Source organism: Homo sapiens, chromosome 9, assembly GCF_000001405.40.
Source record: "Homo sapiens chromosome 9, GRCh38.p14 Primary Assembly".
Taxonomy (NCBI): domain Eukaryota; kingdom Metazoa; phylum Chordata; class Mammalia; order Primates; family Hominidae; genus Homo; species Homo sapiens.
The window spans coordinates 98,532,565-98,559,507 of NC_000009.12; the positions used below are offsets into that span (position 1 = coordinate 98,532,565).

At 44.2% G+C, this 26,943-nt stretch overlaps 1 protein-coding gene across 3 annotated transcripts in view; it reads right to left on the reverse strand.

Moving 5' to 3' along the window:
- GABBR2 (gamma-aminobutyric acid type B receptor subunit 2) overlaps nucleotides 1–26,943 on the reverse strand; it is a 420,827-nt gene that overhangs the window by 244,456 nt on the left and 149,428 nt on the right. Inside the window, exons 1-2 of one of the 3 annotated variants that reach the window (XM_017015331.3) lie at nucleotides 23,089–23,424; nucleotides 9,309–9,479 (exon numbers count right to left, since the gene is read on the reverse strand). In XM_017015331.3, the coding sequence (XP_016870820.1) occupies nucleotides 9,309–9,479; nucleotides 23,089–23,253 (336 nt within the window). In that variant the 5' untranslated portion in view covers nucleotides 23,254–23,424. Of the gene's footprint in view, nucleotides 1–5,981; nucleotides 6,105–9,308; nucleotides 9,480–23,088; nucleotides 23,425–26,943 lie in introns of those variants that run through there. The other 2 variants (NM_005458.8, XM_005252316.6) reach the window with 2 other exon arrangements.

Sequence of the window (26,943 nt, forward strand, 5' to 3'; positions counted from 1 at the left end):
GTGTGCTTGGCCTTGTTCTTAGTTAAAGTGAGCTTGGGAGCACAGTGGTCCCACCTGAAGGCTGCCCATTCCTTCAGTGCAGTGGTTCTCACACTCTAGCTGCATCAAAATCATAAAGCTGAGCCCATCCCACAGTGTCTGATTCACTGGGGCTAGGACAGAGCCCAAGTGGTCCTGCTGATGATGCTGGTCCAGGGACCACACTTTGAGAACGACTGGTGTAGAAGTCAGTATTGCCCAATCCTGAAGAGAGAGGATTCTGAAGCATTAACAACTCAGGAAAAAATTCTCCCAGGATGACAAATTCAGGAAAATTAACTTGGACACAAACTACCGTGTGTGCATTCCCAAAGCCCAACACCTACATCATCTATAAGCAAGCACGTGGCAGGTTCCTGGGGATTGTTGATGCCAATGGCTGGTCCAGAACTTTCCACTGAGATCTCTAGAAGAATTTCCACCAACAAACAATGTCACATCCAAAAAAGACTTCAAGTTAAGAAATGATGGCATGACCTGAGTGGAATTCTGCAGGAGTCAGACTTGCTGACTCTGCCAGAACTGCCTGGCCCTTTGCAACGATCCCCCCTTGCCAAGTTGCCATCTGTCCCACCAAAGGGGCCTCGGGTCAACTCCTTTAAAGTTACTGCTTACTTTTCCAGAGCAGTATCCTGGGAGACACTCCTGCAGGGGAGGACAGGGAGACCCTGGGCTTGCATCTAACCTAGGAGTCACCCTTGTTAGAATCATCCGTCATTCCCTGCTGCTCTTCCAGATGGCCCGGGTGACTCAGGCAGGAGGCAGTCAAGAGAGGGAATGGACTCTTCACAAGCCTGGATGCTGGGGCTGGGGTTTCTCTGCACCCCTTACACCTTCATCTCACCATCCCAGGAACAGGTGGACTCAGGAAAACAGGAGGGAAAGAACTGCATTTGTCCCTAAGAATCTGGCCTAATGGATCAAGAATCATGTACTGAAATCCTCACTGAACATACCTGCACCAGGGAGCATGCAGGGTGAGGGGACACAGGGATCTGCTGTGGCTCTCATTCATCATCTCATCTCATCCCCCATCCAGTGACAGTGGGTGAGAGATGAGGAAGCAAATGGTGTCTTGTGCTGCATCATGCAAAGAACTGGTATGGGGAGAAAAATGAGGAGGAAGAACACAGAGACGGCACACCTGGAGCCAGCTGGGGAGGTTGAGCCAGATGGAGGGCAGGATGTTCCTGCCAAGAGAGAAGCCAGCATGGAGGTGTGGCTGGACCAAAGGGGCAAAGGAAGAAGTGACTGCAGGTGAGACAGAGGAGGAGGCCTCAGAGAGACCATAAAGGGTCTCGAGCCATGCTAAGGAGCTTGTTCCTGCTCAGAGCAGCAGGAGAGGATGATGATTCTAACAAGGGTGGCTTCTAGATTAGATGCAAGCCCAGGGTCTCCCCGTCCTCCCCTGCAGGAGTGTCTCCCAGGCTACTACTCTGGAAGAGTAAGCAGCAACTTTAGAGGAGTTGACCCAAGGCCCTTTTGGTGGGGCAGATGGCAACTTAGCAAGGGGTAAAGGTTTCAAAGGGCCAGGCAGGGCCCTGGAGGGCCTGAAAGGGCAGGTGCTTTGAAGAGGAAGCTCTGCAGATGCTGACCTTTTGGTCTCGGGCAGATTAAGGGCCTCACCTCAGTGGGGCCTGCCACTTGAGAGAGGTCGCCAGTACAGAAAGGTCAGCTTCAGAAGCCTCGAGATCACTGAGGACCAGTGACTAGGTGGGGAGTCTTGGAGCTTGGAGCTTGGAGGGAGAAAAGGGAAAGGCAGCCATGCTCATGGCAGGCACAGAAACTCAGCCATGCAGTGGGGCTCCTGAATAGGGGCCAGCCACGGGCTAAGGAACCTGATTCTGGATGTTAATAAAAATAACAGCTGCCCCTTGCATGGTGCTGAGGATAAGCCAGGCACTTTTCTTAGTAGTTTAAGTATCCTAACACATTGAATCCTCCCAACAACCCTAAGAGGTAGGTGCTATTATTATCCTCATGCTCAAGATGAAAAAAAGATGGCAAAGAAGCCTACGAAAAGATGCTCCACATCATATGACATGAGGGTAATGCAAATTAAAACAACAAGATACCACTGCACATCTATTAGAATGGCCAAACTCCAGAACGCTGACAATACCAAATACTGGAGAGGATGGGGAGTCACAGAAACTCTCATTCATTGCTGGTGGGAATGCAAAATGGTACAGCCACTTTGGAAGACAGTTTGGCGTTTTCTTACAACATGAAACATACCCTTACCATATGATCCAGCAATGGAGCTTCTTGGTATTTACCCAAAGAGCTGAAATCTGATGTCCACAAAAAATCCTGCGCATGGATGTTTAGAGCAGCTTTATTAATAATTGCAAAAAAATGAGAAGCCACCAAGATATCCTTCAGCAGATGAATGGATAAACTGTGGTACATCCTGACAATGGATACAGTTGACCCTTGGTAACCACAGGCTCCTCATCCATGGATTCAACCAACCATGAATTGAGGATATTTTTTTTCAGGGGGGCACCGGGGGAACAGAGTCTCACTCTGTTGCCAGGCTGAAGGACAGTAGTGCCATCTCAGCTCACTGCAACCTCCACCTCTCAGGTTCAAGTGATTCTCCTGCCTCAGCCTCCCAAGTAGCTGGAATTACAGGCGCCCGCTACCATGCCCAGTTAATTTTTTTTGTATTTTTAGTAGAGACAGGGTTTCACCATGTTGGCCAGGCTGGTCTCGAACTCCTGACCTCAGGTGATCTGCCCACCTCAGTCTCCCAGAGTGCTGGGATTACAGGCATGAGCCACCACACTCAGCCCGGATGGAGGATATTTTAAAAATAAATAAATAAATAAATAACAACAGAGCAACAAAAAATAACACAAAAAAAAACCCAATGCAGTATAACAACTATTTACCTAGCATTTACACTGTATTAGGTATTAAAGGTAATCTAGAGATAATTTAAAGAATATGGGAGGATGTGCATAGGCTATATGCAAACACTACACCATTTTATATCAGTGACTTGAGGATTCTCAGATTTTGGTACCCATGGGGGTCTGGGAACCAATCCCCCATGGTTACTAAGGGACAGCTGTGTTAATTCAGCACTAAAACTAAACAAGCTATCAAGCAATGAAAAGACATGGCGGAAAGTTAAATGCGTATTAAAGAAGGGAAATAAGCCAATCTGAAAAGGCTACATTCCGTATGATTCCAACTAAACGACATTATGGAAAAGGCAAAACTATGGGGATCAGTAAAAAGACAGAGGACTTTTAGGGTGGTGAAAATACTCTAATGATACTATAATGATGAATACATGTCATTACACATTTGTCCAAAACCATTCAATATACCCCACCAAGAGTGAACCCTAATGTAAACTCTGGAGTCTGGGTGATGATGCCCTGTCAATGTAGATTCATCAGTTGTAACAAATGGGCCACTCTGACAGGGATGGTGAGAATGAGGAGGCTGTGCCTGTGTGGGGGCAGGGAGCGTATGGGAAATCTCTGTACCTTACTCTCAATTTTGCTATGAATTTAAAATCCTCTAAAATTAGTCTCTTAAACAAACAAAGCAGAGGCACAAAGAGGCAAGTAATTCTCATGACCATGTCCCTGGGAGTGGCAGGATCAGGGTCAAAGGCCAGGTCTCCATAAGCTCACATCCTAGAATCCAAAATTCTTTGAGCTAGGAGGGATCTTAGAGGTCAACTGGCCCAATTCTCTTAGCTTACAGAAAGGGAAACTGAGACCCAGAGACAGCAAGTGATTGGCTTACGGGTACTTAAGCACTTAGTTGGTTAGCTGCAACATAGAATTGAGAGCCCAAAGAATAACTTGGTGAGGATGGTTGGGTAGACCATAAGACTTGAAAAGGGGGAGAGACCCAAATGTCTCTGCCTCCCTCTGCTGTCTTTCTAGGCATCCCCTGCCCACTGCCTTCATCTCCACCCCAAGCCCTATCTCCCTCCTGGGCCCGCAGTGCCCATGTGACATCACTCAGCACTCTGGCCTCTCAGCTCCTTGCCCTAAATTCCAGTGACCTGCACCTCCATGCCACAATGGGTCTTCACACATCACCAGGGTCTGGACTCTCGGTACTTATGCCCCTCTTCTGGCTCTGTCCACAGCCTCCCAACAACCCTCCAGTTCCTTACCGCAGCCCCTCAATGTGCACACGGGTTACCTGCCTGCCTATCCCTCTCCAACACAGACTTCGTGGACCACCCAACTCTTCACACCCCTACTGTTGTCTTCCATCTGGCAGGGCCCCCAGCACTGGACCAAGGCCTCCCTCCACCTTCTCCATCCTGCTCCTCAGTCCCCAGGCCTGCTGAGGGCCACAAGTAGACCGAGGCCACCAGGTAGAATGGGGCTACTTTGAGCTCAAGGTCTCCCACCACCAGAGGGCGTCACTTCCACCCTGAGCTCCTGACTCTGAGCCAATTACGCAGGACGTGAGTTCTCAACGCTGGCGACACACTGAAGCCACCTGGAGAGCTTGGACAGGCTCCAACACCAGGGTCGTCCAGTGTGGTTGCTCTGGGGATGGCCTGGGCATCAGGATTTTCAAAGCTCCCCAGATGCTCCATCCATACAAGGGATTACCACTCAGCAGTAGAAAGAAACAAACCACCGCCACATGCCACAGCATGATGTGCCTCAAACACTGCGCTAAGTGAAAGAAGCCAGACGCAAAAGACTGCGTGTTCTTTAATTCCATTTATATGAAATTTCCAGAAAAGGTAAAACTATTCCTGGGGCTGGGGGGTGGAACTGACTACAAATGGGCACATGGGAATTTTTAGAGTGATGAAGAGTGTTCTAAAACTGGATTGTGGCGATGGTTGCACAAACACATACTTTTTTTTTTTTGAGACAGGGTCTCACTGTCTCCCAAGTTAAAATGTGCAGTAGGGCAATCATAGCTCACTGCAGCCTTGAACTCCTGGGCTCAAGCCTCTCAGGTAGCTGGGACTATAGGTGTGCACCATCATGCCCAGTTAATTTTTGTATTTTTTTTTGTAGAGACAGGGCTTTGTCATGTTCTCCAGGCTGGTCTCAAACTTCTGGGCTCAAGCAATCCTTCCACTTTGGCTTCCCAAAGTGATGGAATTACAGGTGTGAGCCACCACACCTGGCCAACATAAAAAATTTATAAAAAATAATTGAACTGTACATTAACAACGGATGAACTGTATGGTATGTAAATTATATCTCAATAAGGCTATTAAAAGTGAAGAAAAGGAAATGGAAGAAAATCCAAAAATGTACATTTTATTTTGTATTAAAATCAAAATTTCCCTGGTGATTCTAGCGAGCAGCCAGAGTTGAGAACACAATGCAGGAAGCCTCACCACTCACCCCCAGGCTGTGTCATTGATCTCTGGTCCTCCACAGCACAGGGCCCATCACAGACCATGGCACATAGGAGGCCACACTGATTTTTTGAGTGAATGGGCCTGCATTTTCAGTTTGCCCCATGAATCACTGGAGAAGCAAATGGCTATTTAGTGAGCACCTACTACACAGAGATCTTTCATTTCTGTTTTCTCACTTAACCATCTCATCTTCAGTACCTGCAAGGTAGGATAAATAGCCCCATTTTACACAAGGGAAAAGTGGATCTCTATGAGGCCTAGGATCTCACAGCCATCACTTAGCAAGGATGGGCTCAGAGATCAGCCCACCTGGTACCAAATCCTTCCTTCTTTTGTCTCATTTACATCTTTCATCCAGAGGGGGCATGGCAGAGCAAGCTGAAACTTTCCAGTAGCCAATTCTCTCCATGGAACCCTGGTCCCAGCAGCAGCTCTAGATCTGATACATCCTAGGGTCAGCATGGGAAAGTGAATTGCCTGGGGTCACGCAGCCATGCTTGGCCAAAGTGGGCCTAGAGATCAGTACCTCAGACCCAAGTCCTGAGCAGCCTCTGGGTTACCATGGGCTTACCTTGAAACTCAGAGGTTGGAGGTGCTCACAGGAGCAGCTGGTCCCCAGGTGGGATGGCCCTCAGCCTTCTACCCGCTTCCATAGTCCTAATGCCACAGTAATAAGCTCCGTGGGAGTAAAGCCCCTCCACCACCCCCTCCGACTTCAGGATTTCTTTCACTTGACATTCCTTCCAGTGCACCAGTCCGGAACAGAAGTGCTTGACGTTGCTGATCGACCAGTTTCATAAAAGGAATCCAGTTTCCTTTGCACTCATGAAAAGCTGTTAGCCCCTGGCGAGTTTCCAGGGCCTGCACTCCAGCGATGCAGCCCAGACATTGAGAGAGGGATGCCAAAGCCCTTGGGCACAGAGAGGAGTCAGCTGGGCTGAGAGATTTAAATCAAGAGAGGTCCTTGCCAGCAATACCAGCAAGCAGCATCCTGTCCTCGGGAAAAAAGGTTTCCCACTGAGATGCCCTGAAACCCTGGCTGAGGGCCCCGACACGGCTGTGCAAGGGGAAAGATGTGCTACCCAACAGTCAAGACCTGAGATTACCCAGTGAGGACCATGTAGCGAGGACACACAGCAACAGCCTGAGGGTACAGCTTCCAGCCCTGCCTGGGCTCTTTACCAGCATGCGCCCTGGGGCAAGAGACCTCCCACCCTCTGCAAACCTCAGTTTCCCCATCTGTAAAATGGGAACCATCACTCCTCCTTACAGGGTGGCTGTCTGTGAGAGTTTTTGGGAATCTATAAGGCACACAACCAATGTCAGGGCTCACAATTTACCCCCTTTAGAACCAGTCTGGTGGGAATTTCAAACCTCTTAGGCTATATGCAGGTAGTTCCTATGCAATTCCAGGAAGCTAGAGAAGAAAAGAAGGAGAAATGGGAAGTCTGAACTGAGGGGTTCAGGACCCCAAAATTTAGTCCTGACTTTTCTGTGAACAATCTTTCATGACTTCAGAGGTGCCTTGAAACCTTGAACTTTGTCCCCTTCCCTCTCTGGGCCTTAGTTTCCCCTTCTACAAAATGAGGAGGGTAGGAGATATGTCTCTAAGGGTCCTTCAGGCTCTGACAGCCAAAGATGCTATTAGAAAAAAGCAGGTCTGGCCGGGCCCGGTGGCTCATGCCACTTTGGGAGCACTTTGGGAAGCTGAGGTGAGCAGATCAAGAGGTCAAGAGATCGAGACCATCCTAGCCAATATGGTGAAACCCCGTCTCTACTAAAAATACATAAATTAGCTGGGTGTGGTGGCACGTGCCTGTAGTCCCAGCTACTCGGGAGGCTGAGGCAGGAGAATTGCTTGAACCCAGGAGGCAGAGGTTGCAATGAGCCGAGATTGCGCCAGTGCACTCCAGCCTGGTGACAGAGTGAGACTTCGTCTAAAAAAAAAAAAAAAAAAAGAAAAAGAAAAGAAAAAGGAAAAAGCAAGTCTCTCTAAATCCTAGTAGAGTCCAGTGTTAATGGGGCCATGGGATGGGTCCTTCTTATCCTCCACCATCCACTTGTTTCACTCTCATTTTAGAACATTTCTCGCTTCTCTATGAAGGCGGCCTTTCAGCAAAAGCCTCTTCAGCGTTTGGCAATGAGTCACTCCCGCTGGAGGTCAAGTTCCCTTTGTGCCTCCTCCTAGGGGCTGAGAAACAGAGAGGTGGGAAGATGACGAGCAGTCTTGCCTGGGAAAAGCTTGCCTTGTTTGGATACCCACAGACAGTGGGGCCAAACACTTCCACTTTTCACGCACCTCCAAAAACAACCCTCTCTGTGTATGAACTTTACAGTTTACGAAGCTCTTTCAGATCCATTACTCATTGGATTTTGGCAGAAGCCCTGCAGGGAGGCATGCAAGAAGTTATTGTCCCCATTTTACAGGGGAGGAATCGAAGCTCAGAGAAGCAAGGTAACGTCTCCAAGGTCACACAGCCAATGTATGAAGTGGTCTCTCCTTCCCATGGAAGAGACAGGGGGCAAGAACCTCAGAAGGTAAGTGCAGAGCTGCAGTGGAAACCAGGTCTGCTGATTACCAGCCCTGTTCTACTCCCAACTTTCTTGCCACCCTGCCCGGCCTTTCCCCATTCCCAGGCTGGCAAGAGGCTGTGTGTCTGCCCCCACCGCTCCGGCTGAGGTCTGTCTAGACCCCTGACTCACACATGGAAATCCTCCACACGGCTAAAGTTTGTTTCTCTTGGGCTGCTAAGAACACTTGGTTTGTCTTGTGTTTTTGGAGGCTCCAAGTATCAAAAGCACACATGGGAATAGAAAGGAGAGGAGGAGGCACAAAGCAAATGGGAAAAAAGACAGGAGGCCATTTTGTACTCATCTGAGTGAGGCTAATGTTTCAAATATTTGTTAATATCCACTGTTAGTAAGGATATGTGAAAATGGGAATTTTCAAATGCTGTTGGTGGGACTAGAAATTAGAACTGCCTTTTTGGAAGTCAGTCCTTCTCAAATTTTTAAATGGCCCAGCAAATCCACTTCTAGAAGTCTACTGCCAAGACGCACACCTAGCCATGAGAGTATGGTTGTCCCATTGAAAAGTGGTCAACGTTCAGAGGGGCTGGCTCGGTAAGTTACGATATACCCATCTGACAGAACACCAGGTCCCTTTAAACCATGAGGTTAATCAAGACCTCTAAGATCTGTTGTAAAGTGAAAAAAGAAACATACATGATATGAAGTCATTTGGCTTTAAAACAAATACATTGAAAAAGTTCTAGGCAGATGAACCCCTAAGTGAAAGCAGGAGTTAACTTTCAGAGAGAAAGCATGATTCAGGTGGCTTAGGACAAAGCAACACTTTTACATTTTTTACTACCCATATTTTGGCTTTTTTTTCCCCCACAACAAAACACATACACAAAACAAAAAAATTGCCTACCATATATTAAGGTGTGTTTGTAAGTCACTTAGAACAAACAAAACTCTGTACCCCATCCAAGGTGACATTGGCATCTTCGGTCCAAGCCAGCCCTTCCCCAAAACTCTCCTCACAGATGAACACACCCCCTGGTAGAACTTTGTGATCTTAGATGGTCACGACAGCATCAGTAACAAAGACAAGCCCACAGGGCCACTGAGGGAATAAGCCACACGAGGTAGCCAATAAAAAGAATGAAAGGGAAGGTTCACTCCTGATGATGGTTTCCACCAGTCCTATGCACAGTGAAATTCCTCAGCTACCAGCTCTATTTTGTCAACGGTGAAACAGCTTTGATCGCACTAACCAACACATGCTTAAAAGCCCTGTGACAGTACCCATCCCTGACTAAACCACATTGCCTTTTGCTAGATGACAGCAGCAAGCAGTAAGGCAGGCCGTGTCCACACAAGCCGAGCGTACCTCAGAGAACCTCTGAACGTCTTGCGTCAGCGTGCCCACGCGCTTCCACTGGTAGTGCTTGAGCAACTTCAGAATGGCTGGATTCACCGCATTGTCTGATGGGACGGTCCGAAAGAAATAAGGGTATTTTTTCTTATCGGCTAGAACAGGCGTGGTTGCAGCAAAAGAAAGCTGAAAAACACAAAAGAGACAACGCTTTTTACTGATGAGCCTCACAGCTGTGACCCAGCATCTTTCCTACTGGAATAGAGACTGTTAGCTTCAACTTAGAGCATAAACACACAGGGACAGATATTTTTAAAACTTTTTTATTGTAAGAGTAACATATCATAATGGAAGGGAAGGTTTAAAAATGCAAAATAAGGAGGAAGAAGGGAAAAAATAGCCAATGATCTACCCCTCCCTAAAGAACCATCATTCATGTTATCGTCTATTCCTTCCCAGTCCTTTTTCTATGCAGTGATTGAATTTTTTAAAAAAGATCCTGAAATCATTCTACATGCACAATTGAACTGTTTTTCCCCATTTAACGGTATCCTTAAAAACTCTTCGTAAACCTTATAATAGCTGCACAATATTCCAGCATATGAATATACCATAAATTTACTGAATCGTTTCTAATTTGGGGTTATTTCGATTATTTCTAATTTGTCATTATCATCATATTATTCTACAGGCATCTTTGTACATAGCATTTTTGTTTTATATTTTGGGATGTTTCCATAAGATAGAGTCTGTGATGTAAAATTTTCCAGATAAAGAATATGAGTCTTTAAAGATTTATACTTATTTCCAAAAAACATTTTATCGGTTTGCAAATTTAGTAGCCAGGAATGATTAGAGGGCCAGTCTCACCACATCTTTGCCAACACAGGGAGTAAAAAATGTTATTCTGTCTAATTTTATAATGATTTATCACCAAATAAAACCCTGAATCATATCGCATTCATGGTTATAGATAATGCTGAACTTTTCCCTATGGTTATTAACTAGTAGCATATCCTATTTTAGGAGTTACTTTTTCATGTCCTTTGTTTATTTTTTGAGTGGTATTCTAATGCTTTTCAGATTGAATTTAATGAAGATATTTTATATATATAGCGTTCAAACTCAGGCTATTATAGTTGCTGCAAATATCTCAGTTTGCCTTTACATTTTATGTGTGTGTATTTTAATTTACACTCGATAGTCAAAGCTGTCCATCGTTCTCTTTATTATTTCTTCTTTTTCTTTTAAGTGCCAGTTAAGTTGTTAAGTTGGATTTTAATTGTCTGTTCCTGAAGGCCCAACCTAAATGCCACCCCTTCCATAACACTTCCTCTGATCTCTGTTCCTTCCCTCAGCCTCAGCCACAGAAGGTAGTTATCAAAGTTTTTGATCTTTGCAGTATGATGGTGAAAAGATGTTATCTGGTTATAGTTCTAATTTGCATTTTTCTTAGAGTGAGTGAAGTTGAATATTTCTATTTTGTTATATTAATTTTATTTATATATATATTTATTTATTATTTAGAGACAGGGTCCATTCTGTTGCCCAGACTGGAGTACAATGCTGCTATCATAGCTCACTGCAGCCTGGAACTCCTGGGTTCCAGCGATCCCCACCTGCCTTAGTCTCCGGGGTAGCTGGGACTATAGGTGTATGCCTCTATGCCTAGCTAATTTAAAAATCTGTCAGAGAAGGGGCCTCACTATGTTGCCTAGTCTGGTTTTGAACCCCTGGGCTCAAGCCTCTGGCCTCAGCCTCCTGAGTCACTGTGACTACAGGTGTGCTATCGCACCCAGCTTCTTCCTATGTGTAAAAGTAATTGGTAGTTCCTTTCTGGAAACTGTTCACATTTTTTGCTTGTTTTCTAATTTGACTAGTAGTCTTCCTTATCAGTTTATAGAAATGATCTTTTATATTAAGAAAATTAGCCCTTTATGATATAAGTTGCTAATTTTTCTCCCAGTTTGTACTTTGTTTCTTGATGTTGTTTATAGTGCCGTTTCCAGGTAATCACGGTTTTTTTTAATGAGGATGAATTTATCAGTTTTTTTCCTTTATGACTTCAGGTTTTATGTCATATTTAAGAAAGGCCTCTCTTACTCTGAGATTATAAAATAATTTCTCCATGGTTTCTTCTAGTCTGTCTGTCCTCCCTCCTTCCCTCCCTCCCTCCCTCCTTCTCTTCTTTTGTTTCATTCAAATCTTTGATCCAGAGAGGGCATGGATGAAGCAAGCTCAATCTTTGCTGCCACCAGCCATCTCCCCAAACCCTTGCTTGTCCCAGCAGCAGCTCTGGATTTGATCCATCCTAGGTTCCAATTTAAGCATCCAGGGAAATAACATCCTGGTACCCTCAGCCTCCAGCTAAAGTTGCTTTACCGCTTCTTCTGTCACCCTAGAACCACGTTCCCCTTACAAAAGTTTGTGGGGGGCAGTAGAGATTTGTCCCTTTCCATGTCTGTTTCAGAGGGTAGACAGCCACTCTCTAGAATTGCTGGATCTCCTATCTATTGGAGCTGACCACACAACAGTAATTCAGCCATTACCTGAAGCTACAGAGCCCCCGTAGAAACCATCTTCTAAGATCCAACAGAGAGACACCCCAAGACCGGTAAAGGTCAAAGGTAGAATGACTTTTGTCAGTGTTCAAAGATTCTTGGTAGACGAGGACTAATGAGAGGGAAATTTCAACTGGACACATTGAGGAACATTCACATCAGAGTTGTCTGGCCTTGGAAAACCTGCCATCAGAAGTAGTGAGATCCCTGTGTCTGGAGGTGTGCAAGCAAAGACTGGACCACAACCTAGTGAGAACAGAAGGGCTTCAAAGTGTCTGTGAACCCCCTGAAAACTGTAGGAAAGGATTTGCATGGCCATGTATGTGCAGACAGACATGCACATTTTTCTGAAAAAAAGAATCAGTGGCTTCCATCATATTCACAAAGAGGATCATTCCAACCAAATCAAGGTCTGCACACCTGCCTTCAGTTGACATTTAGGTCCCGTAGTGAGTGCGGGAAATAAAGCTCTCTATAGTCCCCTCAAACCTACTGTCTGTGATTCTTCTCACAAGATTAAAAACACTGCAAGCCTCCTATGCTCACCAGTGGGAGAAGGAGCTATTAGAAAAACCTGGGAGGAACTATTTCAGGACAGGGACATTATATATACCATCACATCCCCAAAAATCCTTATCTAATACAATTTGGAAAATATTGGCTTTCTGATGTGATTTCTTAATCACACTCTGGTTGCTACTTTACCATTATTGTCCCATTAGTTCCAGGTCCACAATTAATTGTTGCTTGAACAACCTCATGTTTTCCCTGTGGGTAATTACCGTGGTTACTGTTCAGTGAATAAATGGCCCATTGGGTTTACAATAGGCTTGGAGTACAATATGTGCCCCGGGTCTAAATCATGTTGGGTGCAAAATATTAACTGGCACTGACATTTTCTGCACCATTTGAGATAATGCACGCTTTGATTAGATTGCTTTGCGTCACTGTTTCTCTGGCTTTACTCTGGCTTTAGCCTCCTGAAACTTTCTTCCATGGGCAAAAACTGCAGGTGCCCAGTAGCACTGCTGGACTTCAAAACTAACAGACATCTGAGAAATCATCTAGCTCTGGGGTTCTTGGCACACTGGAGTTATTTGGGGGAGATTTTAAAGAATACTGATGACTTGGTCCCACTCCAAACGAACTGAATCAGAATCTCTGGGCATCTAGCCCAAGCATCAGTATTATTTAAAAATTTTCCAGGTGATTATGATGCTCAGTGAGGGTTGAGGACCACAGATACAGCTCCACACCCCTGGTTTGGAATAAGTAGACTGCAGCCCCGAAATAAGATATCAAAATTCCACTACAGCTAATAAGAGGTAGAAGCAGGACTTGAACCCGGGTCTATAGGACCCTAACACTAGTGCGCTTTCTCCCATGGATGACTATCTACCTGCCTCCTACATGCTCCCCAGGCCTTCTTCCCCTAGCACAGTCACCCAGCATCTGGCATCACCAGGGCTGTTAGCATTAGGGCCCTAACTTGGAGACCAAGCTTTCTGAGCTCTCCTGCCTTGTTTCGCATAACCAAGTTTGTTTCTGAACAGATTGTGATTGAGGCTTTGAGTTAATTCCTAGCCAAGGATTTATTTCGGAGAGTATTTTAAAATTTAATTTCTAGTTTTCTTATAATTTCTAGTTTTATTGCATTATTTTGAGAATTTGGCAAGTGCAGTGTCTGCTTTTGGAATTTATTGAGATTTTCTTTGTGGCCTATTATACAATCAACTTCTGTACAAGTTCCATGGTGGCTGGAAAAAAGATGAAATCTATAGTCATAAGCTATAGAATTCTTTATTAGACTACTTATGCATAATAGATATAACCAAACTAATTATATTATCATACGCTTTGTATTTTTGTTTACTTGATCTATCAAAGGCTGAGAAGTTTGTTAAACTTTTTTCTATTGTCTCTGACCATTTCTTCATGTATTTCAACTGTTTTTGCTTTTTATGTGTTCATTTTATCTTGTTTTGAGCATAAATGTTCATCACAATTATGTCTTCATTTTTCAGCAATATATACTTTTGCCTAGTGCAAATAACAGGCACTTAATAGATATTCATTGAGCGAGTGAAGATTGAAATATTTATCAAGATAAAATAAACCTGTTTGTCATTTTATTGCTTTTTGTTTGATACTGTATCACGCTTGTTATTAATACTGCAACCCTTACTGTATTTTTGCTTGCATTTGCCTGTCACTTTTTTATCCTCCTTTTATTCATATTCTATTAAGATTGTTTTTAAATACACATCTTGAAAAGAGCATATGGACAGATTTTAAAATATGTATGTTTATTGCTGTAGTAAATATTTGGCCTTGCATTTATCATCTCATTGGCCATCTCTTCTTTTTTAATGCTTCCCTTTTTTTGTTTCCTTTTGTTCCCGCTGGTTTTCAACTTTGTATCTATTCTTCTCTATTCTGGCTATGTGAATTAATCTTGCCTCAGGTCTCAGCCCGCTGGAGTACTTTTTAATAGGTACCTTGAGAAGGATAAAGGGTTGACAACTTACTGAGGATGGCCCTGTGTTGCACTGACACACGGCAGAATTTGGCTGGGCATGAAATTCTTGGGCTACCATTTCTCCCCTTTGAAACTACAAAGTGATGCAGAGGAGAAATTTGGGGCTGGCTTGATTGTCACTGATTGTCGTTCATTTGTAGGTACCCAGTTTCCTCTACCTGGAAGCCTGAAAGATTTTTTTTCCCCTTATTCCTGGAATTCAAAAAAATCGCACTCTTGATTTTATTTGGGATAAAGAGAGCCCTATACACGACCTGTATACAATCCATACACTCAAGTATTTCCAACTCAGTAAAAAAAAACCTAATATATATATATAAAATGACTATGCTATATTTATATTGTGTATATTGTTTTATATTTATATTTTTATAATATATTTAACATATTTATTACATATACATTTATAATATTGTATATATTATACATAATAAATATAGCATATGTAGTATGTTTATCATATATATATTTATATTATATTCCTATATATTCTTGTCTCTCCTCTGGGCCACAGGATTATCTGTATGTTGTCTCCTCATTCTCTAAATCCATATCTGTCCTATTTTCTTTTCATAATTGCATCTCTTAGTCCTTGTCCTCCTCAATCTAGAAGAGCATCTTATTTTACTGTATTTTATTACAAGGTATGTGCATATTAGCTTTCACTATTTTCTGGTAAAATGGCTGTACCCACAGCCCTAGCTGTAGGACATAAGTATTCTCATTTCTTCACATCCTGGCCAGTATTTGATATTATCTGACTTCCTAATTTTTGTTAGTCTTTCAGAGATAAAGTGGTACTTCATTATTGTTTGATTTTGCAGTGCTTTGCCTGGAATGTGGCTGAGTGGTGATACATAGACATGTTAGCTATTCGGGTTCTTTGTTCTGTGAGTTGCCTGACTTGCTTTTCAACAGCCTCAGTTTTAAGCCTTATTGACTTTAACATATTTGTATTGTGTTATTGACATTTTTAGTTTCCTATGAATTTTTCATGATCATCTCCCTTTTCGCCCCATCCTCCAATTGCAGGCTATTTCATGGAGCCTGCTTTGCTGCATATGATTGGGGAGGCTACACATCTTTCTAAAGTTTTCTTCTTTATCCTACAATAGATCATTTTCAGAGATGGACTCTTCCTCCACTTCTTCTGAGTACTCTGCTTTTTTTCATTATTTTTGAAGTACTTTTTCAAAGGTGTTTTAAATTTATTAATCCTCAAAAGCAAAGCAAGTGTTTTCAGGCTGGGCTTATCAAGAGACACATGTGGACGGCACTTGGCCCTGTTTTCTATTTACGTTTTAATTGCATATACTTCTCAGAAGGCCGGAGAATAAGTATTTAAGCACAGTTTTTGGTGTCTAGTAGGCTTTCACCTTAGGCTGGTCTACATTAAATAAGTGACATCATCTTTTACCCTCAGTGCCCAATTTTCTAATACTCTAGATCAACACAGTACATTAAATTCCCTTCCTGCACTGCTGCTAGGGTTTTTCTTTCCTGCCTAAAAAATTTCATGTGGGAAGTCTCTGCTTCCCAGAATGCAATTCACATCTAGTGTGCTCCCCTCCTCTTCTCATCCAGGTTTTTTTTCCCCCTAGGAATGTATAGCTCTGTCTGAGTTTAGTGAAAGAGAGATGAGAATAAAGAGAAAAAAGCAATTTGGTTGTCTCAGAGATCAGCAACTGTTAGGTAGAGGCAATAGCTATCCAATTTTCTAGTTGATATGAGTCCTGAGTCTAACTCAGATTGTAGGGGAGAAAGGAAAAGGTCTACCTGTTAATTTTCAACACAATTGTTATTTTATGAGGCAAGGTTTGGAATGCTAGGAAGCAAAGCTTAGGATTTTCTCAATCTAGAGCCATCTACTTTGTAATTAATGAAGCTTCTAAACATCTAGAATATCAATGAGTATTGGGGTCTCTTGGTTCCTTGAGAGTGTATGTATGTGTATGTTTTTTTGTTTGTTTATTTGTTTGGTTGGTTGGTTTTCTTTGAGATGGAGTCCTGCTCTATCGCCCAGGCTGGAGTGCAGTGGTGCAATCTCAGGTCACTGCAACCTCCGCCTCCCGATTGTTCAAGCGATTCTCCTGCCTCAGCCTCCCAAGCAGTGATTACAGGCACCCACCACCATGCCCAGCTAATTTCTTTTTGTTTTGGGATTTTTAGTAAAGATGGGGGTTTCACCATGTTGGACAGGCTGGTCTTGCGCTCCTGACCTCAGGTGATCCACCTGCTTTGGCCTCCCAAAGTGCTGGGATTACAGGCGTGAGCCACTGTGCCTGGCTTCTTTTCCATGTTTTGATAGTTTCAAAGGAAAGCTAAAAAAATGTTTTATTGGGTACCAAATGTTTTATTGAGTAGCCAAATACCCTTTTTTTTCATTTTTGGTTTATGCCATTTATTTATTTAGTAAACCATATGTTCTCAAATATTGCAAAAATAAAGTTCAAGTCAGTTTAGTAAAAGTATTAGAAAAATCACGAATAAATTTAGTCTGACTTAACCAAATATGTGGCAGGGCCTGGCACCCTCTTTCACGTTGTTCAGATGCCATTTAAACCACAAGGTGGTGTGAAGGTTTTTAAGGTTCATGATTGGTACCATCAAACTGCTCTCTAATGTGGTGGTGCTGCCATGCCCCTGGGGGCTGGTGGATAAGACTGCCCAGCTCATCCCATACTGGCCAGCTCTGGGCACTGAATGGGGTTTTTGCCCACCGCCCTGCTTGCCCCAGTCTGTAGCCAGGCTAAACCTGGATCACCAGCATTCTCTTTGTTTTGAGCAGTTGCCCAGGGAGTCTTGAGCACATCCTGGCCCACAGAAGATCCTTAAATAGCATCTCATTCTTTCACTCCCACCCCAGGAAGTGACCTGAGTGCTTCTGATAATGATGGCATCCAGGTACTACCCAATCTACGACCAGACCACAGGGCCTGATGGCTCCCCTGAACTATCCATGGCCACCTGGCCAGAGGAGTGGCAAAATCCTCCAGAATCTTGGTGTCAAGGACCAAGTTCACAAAGAATTAAGCACTATGAGTGGTTGCCTTGAAGCCAGCATATGGGCAAGGTGAAGCAGCTTTGACCTTCATCCTGGAGCGTCAAGATAGTCCTGTCCAAATCCTATAACCTAGTTCTCAGTATACAAATTTAGTATAACTGCCCCCCACCCATCACCTTTTATCTATGCCAAGTCTTCCCAGTTATCCCACCTGATCCTCACAACAACCCTGTGGCAGGTGCCGTTAGTAATCGTATGGATAAGAAAACCGAGGCTTAGAGGTTAAAAAACTTGCCCAACAAAGCAAATTGGGGCGAAAGCACAAAAGCTTTCATGCCCAAGAAAGCATGAAAATGTTTCAGCTCTAAATAGTGGTGATGGTTGAACAACGTTGTGAATGTACTCAATGACAATGACTCATCCACTTTAAAATGGTTAAAATGGCGAATTTTATCTTGTGCATTTTACCACAATATAAAAAGAAAAAAGGAACTTGTCCAAGATCATGCAACTTAGAAATGGAGGAGTGGAACCAGTACTGTTAAGTCATACTGCCTCCATCCTCACCACCACAGCCCCTCAGAAATGATACAAGCCCCTCAGTCTGAATCCCAGAGACATCCTGGCAAAGACGGGCAGCAGCTGAGTGTGATTCAGACCCCTGGACTCCAAAGACCTTGGATTTGGACCTCAACGCTGTCTTTTCCCAGCTGTGCAAACTTAGGCCACTAGTCCTTCTTGCATCTGTAGAACTAAGATTGTAAGCTCTGCCCTGCCTGCTTTGGAGGGGTGATGGCAGGATGTAAAAGAACTTTGTGGACTCTGAAGCTTTACAGATGCATAAAGTCCCCTGCATTCCCTGTGATTATGATTGCCAGAGAGTTCATAGATACTGGATTTGTGGAGAGTCTGTTCACACGGGGGATCCTTTGCAATCTTCCTGGGGGACAGGATTTTTGTTTTTATTTCCTCATCCTACACTCACTCAAAAAAAAAATCCATTCTCTAACATGCCTGAGAGTAAAGCCTGCTTGACAGTGGATAGATGAATGAATGGAGAAATGACCCAACCACCCAATCGGCCAGCCACAGTCTAAGCCATCCAAAGGAGAGTTTTTATGAACACACGTCTGACTTGGTGATTAATACTTTCAGACAGGGCTAGGTGCAGTGGCTCATGCCTGTAATCCCAGCACTTTGGGAGGCCGAGGTGCGTAGATCACTTGAGGTCGGCAATTTGTGACCAGCCTGGCCGACATGGTGAAACCCTGTCTCTACTAAAAATACAAAAATTAGCCGGGCGTGGTGGTGGGCACCTGTAATCCCAGCTACCCAGGAGGCTGAGGCAGAACAATCGCTTAAACCCAGGAAGAAGAGGTTGCAGTGAGCTGAGATCATGCCACCGCACTCCAGCCTCGGCGAGTGAAACAGAGCAAGACTTTGTCTCAACCAAACCAAACCAAACAAAACAAAAACTTTCAGACAGATTACCCAAGGTAGAAATTATGATCCATTTTATACCTGAAAAAACTGTGGCCCAGAAAGGTCATCCAGTAGACCAGGGAGGGAACAATTTATGCCATGGCTTCCAGGGCCTCTCAAACACAGCAAGTTTTGGAGGAGACATATTTAACCAGCAGCATGGGGTGGGAAGAGAGCCATGAGCATCTCTCTCCAGCTGGAGGCCTCTAGCCTGCCGTGATATGTTTCATGAGCGTTCAGGGCCTGCATACTGAACCATGAGTCACTTTAACAAGCAGCACCTGAATGCAGAGAGAAGTGGTGAGCTCATGCAGCTACGAGGCCTCTTTAGGGAGCCGGGACATTTAGGCTTAACCCTGTCCCTGTGACTGAGAGAACAAGGGTAAGTCATTTCCCCCCTTTTAGATGTCTGTTTTTCTCATCTCTGAAAGTGATGGATTGGACCAAAGATTTCAAAGGTTCTCTGCAACCACAAAAATCTATGCTTCGCGAACATTGAAGAAAATGATTAAGGAGTTTCTTGGTCTTGTGTGGGTGTGTGTTTTATTTAATCTGATTTATTCAGATAACTGCCATTGTGCCTCACTTCCATTTGCAGATACGAACCCAGACGAAAAATGTAAACTCATCTCCCAGCTTCAGGATCTTTATGACATTCCAAGGCATTGACGAATTCTTGCCTAAATGCAATTCATTCTTCACCTGTTTTGGGGCATCCGAGTTTAGCTTCTCTGCAAAAATAAACCATTTTTTTCAGGAGGCAGGTATAACCGGGCAGGGGGGACCACAGTTGCTAAGTCCTAGGTAAGGAACTCAGGCCAAATGCAAAGGGATGAGAAAATGATTGAGGCTTGCTCTTTTCTCTGTTGGTTTAATCTTTTTCCACGACTTTGCTGACTGTTTCTGTAATTAAATGAGGGAGGTATTTGTCATCTAGGGTTCCTTTCAGCTGAGATGAATGGAACGCAACTTTCTCAGGAAGCTTCTGACAAAACACTGTTTGTGGCCAGTGCCAGGATGTATACAAAGGCCCCAGGCTGTGTGTGTTGGGAACTCGGGTCCACTTCAGGTCTGCGCCAGGTCGCCGCTGTGCTCAAGCCCTGGTGAAAAACTGTTTGGACAAAAAGTGCCTCAACATAGATGCCGGTGAGATTAATGTGATGCGGGGTGGCTGCAAAGCATTTCCCAAGTTAACAAGGGAAAATGAATGCCTGGCATTTGAGTGAGTTCTGGAAGCCCCACTCCAACAAAAGGCCTTCTGGGGTATCGTGCATAGACTGGCTGTAAGATTTTAAATCTCTTTAGTCAGAGAGAGCTTGGGCTAGAACCTCTTGGGGAACAATCATTTCTCCTTTCTGTTAATGAGGTTTAGTTTTTCATCAAATGCACAGCAGTTCAGCTTTTACCACCCCCTGCTGTGGCCAGTCCTTTTTTTCTTTTTCTTTTTCTTAGAGACAGGGTCTCACTCTGTCACCCAGACTGGGGTACAGTAGCATGATCATAGCTCACTGCAGCCCGGAACTCTTGGGCTCAAGCATCCTCCTGCCTCTACCTCCTGAGTAGCTGGGATTATACCCACGTGCCACCATGCCTGGCTATTTTTTTTATTTTTTATATTTAGTAGAGACAGGGGTCTCGCTATTTTGCCCAGGCTGGTCTGAAACTCTTGGCCTCAAGTGATCCTCCTGCCTTGGCTTCCAAAAGTGCTGGGATTATAAGTGTGAGCCACTGCACTCAGCATATTCTTATTGGGAACTTGTGACAATTTGTAAGGGAGACATTAGTGCCTTTGTTTCCTGTGGGAGAAACTGAGTCTCAGGGAGGTATAGTGACTTGCCTGGGGCCCCATAGCTAGTAAGAGGCAAAGCAGCCAGGTGCGGTGGCTAACACCTGTAATCCCAGCACTTTGGGAGGCCGAGGCAGGAGGATTGCCTGAGGCCAGGAGTTCAAGACCAGCCTGGGCAACATGGCGAAACCCCATCTCTACAAAAAAATGCAAAAAATTAGGCATTGTGGTTCGAGTTTGTGGTCTCAGCTACTCGGGAGGCTGAGGCAGGAGAATCAACTGAGTCTGAGACATTGAGGCTGCAGTAAGCTGTGATTGTGCCACTGCACTCCAGCCTGGGTGACAGAGGAGACCCCTTCTCAAAAAGAGGAAAAAAAAGAGGCAAAGCTGGGACCTGAGCTTAGATATTTTGACTTCTTGAAATTATGAAATAATGAGCACGTACCGTGGAGCAAGCACTGCATGAAGGGCTTAGCATTCACTTCTTCACTTAATGTGCAAAACAACCCTATGAAGTAGATGTGATTCTGATCTGCATTTTCCAGATGAGGAGACTGAGCCTCGGAGAGGATAAGTGACTTGCACATGATCACTCCGCAAGCAACTGGCAGAGCAGGGAGACTAATGTCACAAGTCCCTGCTCATTCTGCAGAGTGCTATGATTCTTCTCTGTGATTTAACAATTCCCAAAACATATTTACTTCTCTAGTCTAATTTTGATCTTCACAAAAACCCATGATATCAGTAGAGTAGACTTTATTATTACCCTCATTTTTTAGATAAGGAAACTGATGTTCAGAGAGGTGACTTACTCAAAATCAGGTGACTTACTCAAAGCCGCATGTTAACAAATGGCAAGGCTAGGGTTTGGGACTTTGGTTCTTAGAATGACGTCCTCGCTCCAATTTTCTGGGCTGCTTCTCAGGGAGGCATCTGAGGCTAAGACTAGAAAGCAACCAGGGCAATTTAAAAGAAGAGAGAATTAGCCGGGCATGGTGGCGGGTGCCTGTAGTCCCAGCTACTTGGGAGGCTGAGGTAAGAGGACCGCTTGAGCCTAGGATTTAAGGGTGCAGTGAGCCAGGATCATGCCACTACACTCCAGCCTGAGCGAGAGTGAGGCCCTGTCAAAGAAAGAAAGAAAAAGAAAAGAAAGAAAAGAAAAAATAAAATTTATTTAAAAGAAAAAACAATAATACTTCATCAGTGGGTTAGTATGCTTTTGATTCTCTAAGATGGTCCAATGAAAACATATGAAACAAAAATCGTACGTATATTTAAAAACATTCTTCATCCTGGACGTTCTTCTTTTTAAACTTCTATTATCAAATAGAAACTACATACATAAGCACGTTAGATACTTTTAAAGAATAATAGCAAAACCAATATCCAGCTGCCTATCACCCAGTTTAAGAGACAGCATTTATTTATTATGATAAATTGTGAAGTCATTTAATGCTTTGCTCTTTAAGATATAATTGTTTTTGCTATATGGCATTCTATGATTCTTTATTACCTTCTTCACTCCCTTCTTTAACATTTCTATTATTATTTGACGTAAAGAAGATTGGAAAACAACTATTAGTTCCGCAAATCCTTTTATTTTAAGTCAAAAATGGGAGTAAATTAGAGAAATGGCAAAACCAAGTCGATGCTGAGAAAGCAGTGTGGCTCATAAGGGTAAGAATGCTGGGTTTCAGTTTGGACAGGCTGTGTCTGAATGCCACCTCCGCCCCTCCCTGTGCAACCTCAGAAGACTCCTCCAACTTTGGGAACTTCAGTCTCCTCCTCTGTAAATGGACTGGGGTCAGACAGGCACATTCCCATTTCAGGGCTGTCGTGAGGGTTGGAATAGCACAAGTGCCCAATTAATGATGGCTTACAGTAGACCACAATTTCTAGACTTAAAAGTTACAAGAACTAAGTTAGGAGAATTAGATGGTATTTCTTACAATCACACAGGGCCTTTTAATTTACAAAGCCCTTTCCTGCAATATTCCACCTCCCTAGGGAAGGCAGGGGAGGAGCATACCCATTTTACAGATGAGAAGCCTCAGCGAAGGAAAGGATTTGCTCAAACTCAAGTGGCTGCCACCAGGCAGGGACATCATTCTAAAGCAGGATGTCCAAATCCTAATCTATTATTTTAAAATGGTTTGTTAATTAAACAAATAATTATGATTGTATTGCTTGTCTAATTGTGTACAATTAGAATGTATGTCTTTAATTTTCTCTTAAACTTCTGGTAAAATGTTCCATTTTCCCCTCACAGCTGTGCAGGTGACAAATGCAGGAAATTAACAAATTACATTAGAAGCCTCTTTGGTTTCCTCGGCTCCTTTGCACTTGGCTTTCAGCTGATGTCTTTAGGGGTAAGAAGTGTTCTCGTGTGATCACAGCTGTGAAGCCAACCGCCTTTTAATTACCTCACTGCAGAAATCATGTCTCCTCATGTCAATATGGCACCTCTGATCAGTCCACAAGTTGAAATCACATCTGTCAGGGGTCGGGGGTGCTGGGGCCCCAGCTCGAGTCTTTGAGTGGGAGAGGATGCAGCATTTCTTACTTCTGGGATCATACTTCCTACTCATTTGTCCAGGCCTACTCACAGACACCTCCTCCAGGGAGCCTTCCCTGCTCTCCCTCAGTTCTCCCAGCACTGTTTCTTCCCTTTGTGGTGAGGCACTGAGAAGTGATGGGCAGCCAGGCCCACTTCACTGACTGCTCTATGAGCTCATTGAGGGCTGTCTGTGAGTTTGCTCTGTAGCCATGGGAGACATGGAGGGGAAAGGGAGACAGGAGGGTCACAAAATGCCTTCACACTTGTCTTCTTTAGACAGGAACTCACCCAGTTGTCACACAAAACAGAACAGAGGAGGAAGGAAAGTGCTGGTTTCTCTGGCTGAGGAAAACAGGGTTTGCGCCCCATCCCCTTGAGTAGATAGAGCTCAGGCAAAGCTCTGAGCGGCAGACTCGTACCAAGGAATCACTCAACCAGACAGGCCAAGCTTGCCAAGGAGGCCTGAGAGCCACCTGCCCGCTGACACTCAGAGGACATGGGAGGGCCTTCAGTGTGGCAGTCACTGGGCACCTCACAGCCCCAATCCCAGGGACACCGGGGCTCGAGAAGAAGGGGTCATCCTAGGTTCAGTTTACCCTGTGAGCCAACGCTTTCCACAGGCAAGAAAGTGGAGCACGAGACTCCACACCTCTGAAATGTGCTTCATGGTCAGTCCAGAGGAAACTTAGCTGAGTCAAGATCAAAGATTCAAAGATGCTTTCCCAGAACGAGAAGTTTTATTCCATGGGGCAGGGGGTCATCCAGGATCAGTGGCTGGGGCGGGGCTGGGGTTGCGCATGGGCAAGAGCACCCGGAAGTGAGTGCCGCTGTGTGCCTGTAGAACACACAGACCCAGCTCCTCTGGTCAGCTGCAAACCCGCCACCAACCTGCTAGGCCTCAGTTTCCTTAACTGTAAAATGGGGAGAATAAGTCCTGCCCTGACTAACTCTCCAGGGCTCTGTTAAAGATAAACTGAGACCGGGTGCGGTGGCTGACGCCTGAATCCCAGCACTTTGGGAGGCTGAGGTGGGCGGATCGCTTGAGCCTAGGAAGTGGAGACCAGTCTGGGCAAATTGGCAAAACCCCATCTCTATGGAAAAAAATAAAATTAGCCAAGCACGGTGGCCATGCCTGTGGTCCCAGCTACTTGGGAGGCTGAGGCAGAAGAATTGCTTAAGCCTGGGAGGTCAATTCTGCAGTGAGCCGTGATAGTGCCACTGTACTTCAGCTTGGGCAACCCAGCAAGACCCTACTTCAAAAATAAATAAGTAAACACACTGAGAACTTGGAATATGAACATGTTTTATAGGAAGTGAGTCCTAGTGCTATAATAGAAGATGAGGAGATGAGGGTTATGAGGCCCACTTGGCCTGCTCCCTCTCCACCTCTTTTGCTCCAGCGTCCTCTCTCACCCCCTCACTCCAGCCTTCTCTTTCCCAAAGCAGGCTCTCCCTCACTCCCCTCTGAAAAAGCCTTTCTGAACACCTTCCTACCTCCAGTCTACGCAGGGGGTGTCTCCCCTACTGCACCTCCATCAGACCTTATCACCTGTACTGTCATTGCATCCAAACTGTCACAGAATAAGCACTCAACTATGTGTTGAATAAATGAATGCAGAGGGAGCAAACTTACTGTGTGGGGTCTCAGAGGGAAAACCAGGGTCCATGTGTAACTGTTTCAGGGAGGCTGATACGGTCAATATGAAGAAGAAACCGTTCACAGTAAGGTATTCAAGAGTGAATCAAAATCTTGCAAAGTACTGAGTTCCCCAGCACTGGAGGTATTCAAGAAGATCCTCAGGGATCATCTGCCAGAGTCACAGAGGGGATTCCCAAATCAGCAGGGAGTTGAATTAGTCAGTGGTGTGCTTTGTATCCCAGGGAGCATACTCAGTGACTTCAAGTGAGTCCCAGATGACTATTTTATACCCTAAGAGACATGCTTTTCCTTAATTTGCTTTTATACTACCTTCTTAGTAAATGATACTGATTTTTCATTCATGGCATTTAGATAAAATTATGAGTCAGTTTAAGGGAACATACTAATTAAGTTAATAATACAAGTTGTACTTGCATTGGCAGAGTCAAGAAAGTGATATGAAAATGATAACGTCAGGGATACATGGGATTACAGGTTCATCAAAGAGTTTTTTACCAGAATATATGGTCCTTAGAAATAAACGTCTCCTACCCAAATCTCTATCACCTTCAATTAAATTAGGTCATAATGTGAATTTAAACAATTACAGAATGAGTTAGACTTTTATCTGGGCACTGGGGAATAGGCACTATCAGAAGTGTCAAGAAGAGAGGGTAGCTATCTTAAGAGAAATCAGCTACATAGAAAAAAAAACAAATAATGGAAATGGCCTAAGCGATAGCTTTGCCAGATTTAGCAACATTTGGGACATTCTTGCATTAAAAAACAAAGCAAAAAACCTTTTTGTGTATCTGAAATTCAAATTTAACTGGGCATCCTGTATTCTACCTGCTAACCCTAAGTAACCATTCAGGCCAGCTGTGGTAAAGGGCTGAACCTATGCCGTATCACCAGTGGGCTGATGGGGGCTACTGAGAAGTGGGCTAAGGGAGTGAAGAATGAGCATTTAGTGATCTATTAGTTATGTCTACAATTAGCATAGAAGGATAAAATAATACCATGGGTGCCATTTATTTATGTGCCATTCTGGGCTTGTCCAACTCTTCATTTTATACACAGAGGACCAGAAAGAAGGGATTTGCCCAGTCTTGCCCCCCAAGTTCATGGCTGGCAGGGCTAAACCCATTCGCTTCTCCACATTGCCTGCTCAGAATCTAAACAGAATCCTTCCAGTGCCACAATTATGTAACTTCAGACTATCCTGAGCAAACATGACCACTCACATCATCAGCCAGGACGCCCACAGCCACTCAAACCCTCCAGCTGATCCAGTGTCTCATCATGACTACACTGAAATGCCCTAGAATAACACAAAAGATGTGAAACAAAGTCCATTGACACCGAGTTCTGTTGAAGGAGTTGTCACTGTGACAGCAAAGCACTCAGGGATCTGAACCACATGCTGCTGATAGGGTATCTCCAGGGATCTCAATAGTACAGTTCTATGTTTGACTCTTCGTAGAAACTGAAAACAAGCATCATGCTTTATTACAAAGAAGCTCTTTCACTTACTGTTTATTAAATTGCATGGAATTGGACTCAATTTGGTTTTTTTTCTTAGTCTTTCTGTTCCTTCCTTCCCCTTTCTGGGCCTCGGTTTCCTGAAGAAGACTGTTCTAGGTAGTTTTTATTTCAGCTCTAAAATTTCATGATTTAGTAATTATATGTTTAATTAACTAATTTATTTTTATTTTATTTATTGAGACAGGGTCTCACTCTGTTGCCCAGGCTGAAGTGCAGTGGTGTGATCTCTGCTCACTGCATCCTCCACCTCCTGGGCTTAAGCAATCCTCCCACCTCAGCCTCCCCAGTAACTTGGACTACAGGCATGCACCACCACTCCTGGCTAATTTTTGTATTTTTAGTAGAGATGGGGTTTCGCCATGTTGGCCAGGCTGGTCTCAAACTCCTGGCCTCAAGTGATCCATCCACCTTGGCCTCCCAAAGTGCTGGGATTACAGGCGTGAGCCATATGTTTAATTTACAAACCAAAGAGAAAGTATTCTGTCTTTGGGCAAGAAAATGAAAATTGCTGAACCAGAGATAATGCCACCAGAAAGG